This window comes from Homo sapiens, chromosome 11 (assembly GCF_000001405.40).
Source record: "Homo sapiens chromosome 11, GRCh38.p14 Primary Assembly".
Classification (NCBI taxonomy): Eukaryota; Metazoa; Chordata; class Mammalia; order Primates; family Hominidae; genus Homo; species Homo sapiens.
The window spans coordinates 115911829-115919615 of NC_000011.10; the positions used below are offsets into that span (position 1 = coordinate 115911829).

A 7787-nucleotide genomic window follows, 5' to 3' on the forward strand; every position below is an offset into this window, starting at 1 on the left:
ACAGCCCCGTGAAGCGTTGCTAATTTGGCTGAGATGACTGGGTGGGGTGAGGAGGGCTGAGAGCACAAAAGTGCTCTCCTTGCAATTTACCTTCTTACTATTGACAAACTGGGCTCTGCAAAAAGCCACCGGGTTTGCCTCGTTGGGGCTTTTGAGATGCAACGGGCCATTGGTTCCTTAAGATCTGGTTTTCCAGTTGTCGTTTGTACCGATGAACTACATGGGTCCTTGGTGGGGGGTTGGCAATTATATCCTCTTTCCTGCCTCTTCCCTTCTTTCAGGCATAAACGTACACACACATGCACTCAATGCACAAAGCTCCTAACTTACATAAAGGTCAGGATCTAACTGCTTCTATTTCCACACTTTGAATGCGAGACCAATTTGGTGACAGCCTCTCGTGCCATTAACGAAATAGAAACATATGCACATGCAGCGATAAAACAGATCTGAAACAACATCCCTGCCACCTGTTGGGTGGCAGCTGAAATCAGACATCTTAATGTATGATATTATGGGAATTACCCACATTAAGATAAAATATCTGGATTTAAGTAACTGTCTTTTGCTCTGAATTAACTTGAAGGTTGAACTCAGAAAACAAAGGCAAACGACTTGGGGCTAAGCAACTTACTCCACAGCCATCGTGCCCGGCTGCCGCTCTGGTGGGGGCACTATGTAGAAATGTTGGTGGCAGTTTTCACTTCTCCTAATTGACAGCAGAAGATCTAGCTGTGCTCCAGCATTCTGGACATGAAGGGAAATGAGAAGGCTAGCCTGTACCCAAGATGTGAGCTTCTAAAAGAAACAGGAACTAGGGTCTGCTTCATTCCTGAGTCTTCAGCACTTAGCAGAGTCCCTGATATATAGCGGATCTTTACAAGTATTTGTTGAGTGAAAGAAGAGGTATGGTAAGTCCTTTCTCAACCACCAAGTACATTCTCTGTTCCTTCTGCTTCCCCCTTCCTTTTCTTGTACATTTTACACCAGTATAAACCTCCACTTCCCTCACCTGGCTGGAATCTATATTGCAGCATCACCAGCATCAGCTAGTGCCAGGAAGGTTTCCTCTCTTCAGGAGCTTTGCAAGACTTCACTGTGTCAGTTCTATTCCTAGCTGCAGGAAGTCCCTTTTCTGGTAGCCTCCTTTGCTGGCTCATGATGCAGACCTGACTAGGAAGACTAAGGCAGTTTTGTAAATTGGTGTGGGGGCAGCAAGTACAAGACTCCAAGCATCCCCTCTGGTGGTTGGCAGAGGATTTCAGTCTGCTGGGCTGACGAAGTGGAGAGGCTGCCCTGGGCTTCAAACTGGACCTGGTACTACCTCCAACCCTGTGGATGTTTGCTCCTGTAGCATATGGCCCAATGCACCTGATTGCCTTAGTTTTCCATGGAAAAGACAAGAAGGTGGTTTTCACTCCTCTACCATGTTTATTCAGCCTCGTTAACTCCACTGAGTTTGCTCTGATAGGCCAGAAAAAAAATAAGTTATGGTTAAGGTGTAATGTGTCCAGAAGTGCCCAAATTGTTGTTTTTTGCCAGGATGGGGAAGTCCACTGAGATGTAAAGATCTAAGCTGAGATTGACCTTTGAATCTTTTCAACAGGTATTCATTGAATCTATAGGAAGTCTGGTACTATGTGAGGTTTTAGGGATGGGTTTGGAGCTGAACAGAGAAAAAAAGAAGTAAAAGAAATAATCCCTGTTCACAGGAGTTAGTGTGTGAGACAGAGATATATGCACATGACACTATGTAATAAATTGTAAATAAATGATAGAGGTAAAGATCAAAGAAGGGGAAGAGAGAGAGGACTGGCTGATAGAGGATTATGGAAGAATTCCTAGAGGGGTTAGGTCTTGAGGACTGGATTGGACTAGAGAGTCATTGGGGAGAAGTCAGTAAACAGAAAGAGGAGATTTTCCTGAAGACCAGGGGTCCCCAACCCTTGGGCTGTGGATCAGTACCAGTCTGTGGCCTGTTAGGAACTGGGCTGCACAGCAGGAGGTGAGTGGCCAGCAAGCATTACTGCCTGAGCTCTGCCTCCTGTCAGATCAGCGGTGGCACTGGATTCTCATAAGCGCGCGAACCCTATTGCGAACTGCACATACAAGGGATCCAGGTTGCATGCTCCTTAGGAGAATCTAACTAGTGCCTGGTGATCTAAGGTGGAACAGTTTCATCCCGAAATCATCACCTGCCCTGCACGTCCATGGAAAAATTGTCTTCCGCTGATCCAGTCCCTGATGCCAAAAATGTTGGGGACCACTGCTGTAGATGTTTAAGATACCGTGGTACTATAGCTGAATGCAGTGGCTCACAGCTGTAATCTCAGCACCTTGGGTGGCTGAGGTGGGAGAAAAGCTTGAGGCCAGGAGTTGGAGGCTAGCCTGTCTAACATAGCAAGACCCTGTCTCTATTTAAAAAAAAAAAAAAAGATATTGTGGTATTAGCACAGGGATAGACTAATTGACCAATATATCAGAATACAGTGCTAGCGACATATCCACAGAAACTTATATGACTGGTGGCCTTGCAGGTCACTGGGGAGATAAGGGACAACTTAACACCGGGGCTGGGACAATTGCCTGTACTTATACAGAATAACTGAAATTGGATCCTAATGCACAAATCCTAAAAATAATTTCTTGAAAAACTAGACTTAAATGTAAAAGGCCAAGCTGTTAAACATTTAGAAGTAAATAAAGGAGGCTCTCTTTGTAACTATGAGGGGTGGAAGATTTCTTCAACATAACACAAAAAGTATTAATAATGAATTCAAAAGTTGATAAATGTAAATACATTAAAATTGAGAATGTATGTTCACCAAAACAATGGCATGAAGAAAGAGAAGAGACAAAGCACAGATGGGAAGAAATATATTTGTAACAAATAGATTCAGTAAAGGATTAGTACAAATAGATTCAATAAAATATAAAGAATTCAGAAAAGCCATTAAGAAAAAGACAAGTAGTCCAACAGTTAAGTGGAGTAGGGGGAGATGTGAAAAGACCTTCTATAGTAAAGAGAATAAAGACTGACAAGGGGCCAAGAGCTGGGTAGAAACTGGGAAGGTTAAAGGGTCATAGAGTAAGGAAAGGGGCCAAGATGTAGACTTGTAGGCAGGAGAGTCACTATACTCTTAAAAGCAGGGGCAGGTACAGAAATTAGCAGCAACCTCCACCTTTTGAAACTCTCACCAATAGCCTTGCATTAAAAGCATGGGCTCAGTCGGCCACTGGCAGGTCACTGAGGAAGGTCAGAGCATGGAATGAATAGCTCATAGACAATACACAAAGTCGTATGTCAATAAGTCCCTACTCTGGAACCCTCATCTTGGGCACTTCTGCAATAGATCTGAAGCCTGTGAACTTCGTGGAGACCTGATCTGAAACCTGCAGCAGCAAGGGGCTGGATTTGGCTGGATCTGGCAGTTGTCTCCATTCCTCACCCTCATTGGACCTCATAACTCCTTCTGGGGCCCCTGCACCATGGGGTTGCCTGTTATTTTCCTGTGGTGGCACAGTGGCTGATGAAGTGCTGTTCCTCAGCTATGGCAGCCAACACTACTAGATAGAAGCTGCTTGTCAAGAAAATCCTTCAAAGGCCCTATTGCCTTGAAATGATATGCACTATTTCTATGGGCTCTTAAACAGAATAATTCATTAGTCAGTTAAGAACAATCAATATCTCACTCCGACAATTTACACACTGACTCTGTTTACCCAGTGGACCCTCTCTGATAATATTATTTATGATCCTAAATAACTCCATCGGTGTTCAATAGAGCTGGAGGTGCCTCTGGGACCAGGACACAATCAAATTATGAAGACATATGGTTTGCTCAGCTCTGGAAATGTTCAGACGCATTTCATTGATGTTAGTCTCACAGTGGTACCTCCCTGCTCAGTTCTACAATCTTCCTAATGGTGTCTGTAGGATGGCCCTCCTCTTTAGGAAGGGACTGCCAAGGGAATTTTATGGTGGCTATTTCAGGATTCTCCAAAGTGAAGGACACATAGAATAGTTCAGTGGATTCTAGACCAGGCTGGCAATTATGATGTACTAGGCTTTGCCTATAGAAGGGTATGGAACAAATTAGCCTGGGAGAGATTTGTGAGGCAGCAGAGAGACAAGGATGTGGGGTGTGTGTGTGTAGGAGAACACAGGAGGGGTGAGGTTAGGTGAGAAGCAGAGGATTTGTGGGGTCAAATAAGTACGTTGGAGTTCATAAGATTTCAGGGAGATCCCCAGACTTACTTCAAGATAGAAGGAGAGAGGTAAGGTGAGACCATTCACTTAAAAACACATCCCTTTATTATGGGACTTCTTACAATGAACATGTATTATTTATGTAATTAAAAATACAGAGAGATGGTAAGTCTCCCTCTTTTTCCTCTCCCTCCCTCTCTTTATTTTCCTCCCTCCCTGTTACCCCCTCGCTCCTCCTCCTCCTCCTCCTCCTCCTCCTCCCTTTTCTTTTTCTTTCTTTGTCTCTGTCTCATATGCACACCACAGTTTAGAGAAGCAGCATCAAGAGAGGCTCTGATGTGGCTTCATCACTAACTGCAGCAGGACAACATCAGTGCACATTCGGAGCCCGTTTTATAGAATGGACTGTGAAGGCAAAGTGTCAAAGAGGGAAAAGGCAGCATTGCAAAGACAGAGCAGGCACTAAAATCTCTCTTATTTTCCTACTCATTAACCCTTTAGTCCTCAGGAGAGCAGGCGAAATGGGGAGGGCTGCAGTCATGAAGAGAGGAAGGGCCCGGCCCAGGATCTCCTAAGCTGTCTACATTGTAGTGTTCTGATCCCAGCCTGAGAGGGAAGCCCCCAGGGCCCAGCCTATGTGGGTTATGACAGCCTCTCAAAGGGCAGCTGAAATCTGGGGCAGGTGCCAGCACCTGGCAATCACTTTTGAAACCTGCTCTTTCCAAATACTCTACATAATAACCCTGACCGCTTAGCAGAGGAGACATTGCCATCCCCACTTACTAGATGAGGCAATGAAGAGTTCCGGGCATGAATGCCCAGACCCAGTACCAGGAACTCTGGACTCCTAGCCAGCAATCTCTAGACTAGCCCAGCAGCATTTCTGCTCATCTGACCTGTGACTAATGGCCAGCAGTGAGTGGCTATGTGCAGTTCTGGACCAGAGGGTAATCTGTGGCAAAAGCTTCAAAGACAAAAAATACATGGCAGCATGTGGGGAAGATGCCCATCAATTTCTAGCCCCATAGTACTCTGGTTCTATTGATGAACTGATCTTTGCTGCACAAGAGTCTCACGGATGCTCTGACTCTCTCATTTCTCTCTCTCTCTCTCTCTCTCTCTCTCTGTCACTCTCTCTGTCTCTCCCATCCTCCCTTCCTTTCTGTTTTCGTTTTATCCTCAGATATTTACTGAATACATGCCATGTTCCAAACATTCAGAAAGGAGTTGTAATCGATAAAGAAGACACCTGTCTACAAGAAGCTTACAGTCTACTGGCCAGAGATGAGATGTGTCCACAGATAACCATGCTGCAAGTTAAGTAAAGAAGAATCTGTAAGAGTGCTATGCCACTGTGACCTGTTCTTTGAAAAAGCTTGAAATGAAATCACAAAGCAACTTTCTTGATTTCCCACTATTTACATTTACTTAAGGAGGAAAGTTCTACTAACCCCAAATATGTACATGGAAAGATCCATGACCTTTAGGAATATTTTGGGGGAAATAAAATGTTCAATGATACCTGAAATCATATCTAGATTGAACTCATATTTAGAATGCCTGATCCCATGTAATGGTCAAAGCTTCCAACTTCATACAAAGTTATAGCTGGTTTCTCTCTCCCCAGCCAGTGCCTGCAACAGGGCAGGGGTTGAATGGTCAGCTTGTATCGGCAGAGGTCCCATTGTTCCTGCATGCGGCCCAGTGGGCAGGGCCTAACTTTGTACCATCCCAGCTCTCTTGCTTGCAAAGCCCATATGAAAACCCTAGGAAACACTTAGGCATCTTTGCCTGAGCAGATACTGGGAGAGCAACTCACCCATGTGCCACCTCCTCTGCTTTCCTCCCTTCTGTCACCCAGATTTTACAGGTGAAGGTCACATGTCAGGCACTCATTCTCCCACACTACAGGGGACATACACTCTGCTGTCTGAGTGGTCCCATTGAAGACCCCCTAGCAGACTGGAGATAAGGTACAGTTACACCTGCCTCTCCCCTTAGGGAGGTGGAACTCACAGCTCACCTGTCTCTAAAGAAGCCCTCTTCACAAATACCTTCCTGTCAACCTCCCACACACTTATTTTTTTAATACCCTTGACAAGAGTGAGGGTTTTGAGCTGTGAAACCAGTTTCTGGATATTTCCTTTGAAATTTCCATCCCAGTCTGGCTCCTTGCTGGAGCAGCCAATATTCTGCCATTTCAGGTGCTGAGCCCTGGCCTGGGAGGTGCCAGCAGGGAGAGGCCAATTCCAGCAGAGGAGAGTCCAGGCATGTGGGGATATGGTGGTGTTCTCCATGGAGGGAGAAACAGGGCATTAATAAAACAGTGCCAGGAATAACCCTGTGATTGATGGGTAAAGGTCATGGACTCTGGGATACTGGCAGGCACTGATGGGAACCTGTTAGGGCTGGACCGGGACCATCTCTGGCTTCCTGCTTCCCTCAGGTACCAGGATGCTCTGCTATGGTCTCTGGCAAAACTGAGCACTGGGGCTGGGCACATAATTTTGCCTGGGACAACTGCTGTAGGGGCTTCAGAATGCCTGGTTTTCTAAATTTTATTGGTGTCAGGAGAGAGCTTTGATAAGCTTTAATGTGCTATTAATTATTTGGGCTGTTAAAAAAGGGAGTGCATGAGAGGCTTGGAGTTGAATGATCTCATTTCTGAGGTTCTGAGGAGGTACACACATACACCCCAGTGGAAGCCAACTCAGGATCCAGCTGCTCACGGAGTTCCTCCCTCTGCTCAGACACCAAGAGTGCTGCTGCCTGAGACTGAGCAGAGTAGGGAACTGGGGAGGATCTCCACTGCTTTAAACTTAAATGTAACTTGGGCAATTTGGACTTTCTTTGGGCTTTAATTCGCAAGGGCTAAATACTTTGATTTTGGACTTTAATCTCTTTGGGATTTTAATCTCTAAATTTTTCCCTAGGAATTTGATAATGGGAAGGGTTTATATCCAAATTTGGGACATCTTATTTTCCCATTTATTATTGAAGAAATCTTTATGCATTTTTTATTAGCTCTTTATGCATTTTATTATTGAAGTATCTTCACTCTGCTATTAAACCTCATTACAGAACCTCTGATGAGGTTAGTGGTCCATGTGGCTGGACATCAATTTGGATTGGAAATAGAACAGGCTCTGAACTTGCAGTCTTAGACACAACATAGCCTTGGACTGGATTTTATTAACACACTGTTCTGGCTCATCTCAGAGGCTTATGGAAGTGAAATCAACAGTGTCTTAGGATGGTCCCAGGAAGGCACAGGAAGGAACAGAAGTTGATGCTGGGGGAGCGACCTCCTGCTCAGATAGTTAGCTCATCCCCTCCTGGAGCCAGATGACCACATACCTGGTTGTCCAGGGGTTAAACATTAAGCCCAGCTGGTTAAGATAACAAAAATCTGGGGAATTTTTATCCCCTTCCTTCTCTAGTTTTCATATAGAGGGACTTCCCTGACCCCACACACTTGGCCCCTCTCTACTCCCTTTTTGACCCAGCTAGGAGTGATTTGTCACTTGAGTTTATGTATGACTCACTCTCTTCCCCTCCCTCTCCCTCTCTTTTGGTA

General features: G+C 45.1%; 1 annotated feature.

The window, feature by feature from the left end:
- Positions 7504–7653: an enhancer, noted in NCBI's record as "active region_5546". NCBI's record gives its function as "activates an Ori minimal core promoter by ATAC-STARR-seq in GM12878 lymphoblastoid cells {active_cell/tissue: GM12878}" and the evidence as "EXISTENCE:reporter gene assay evidence [ECO:0000049][PMID:35858748]".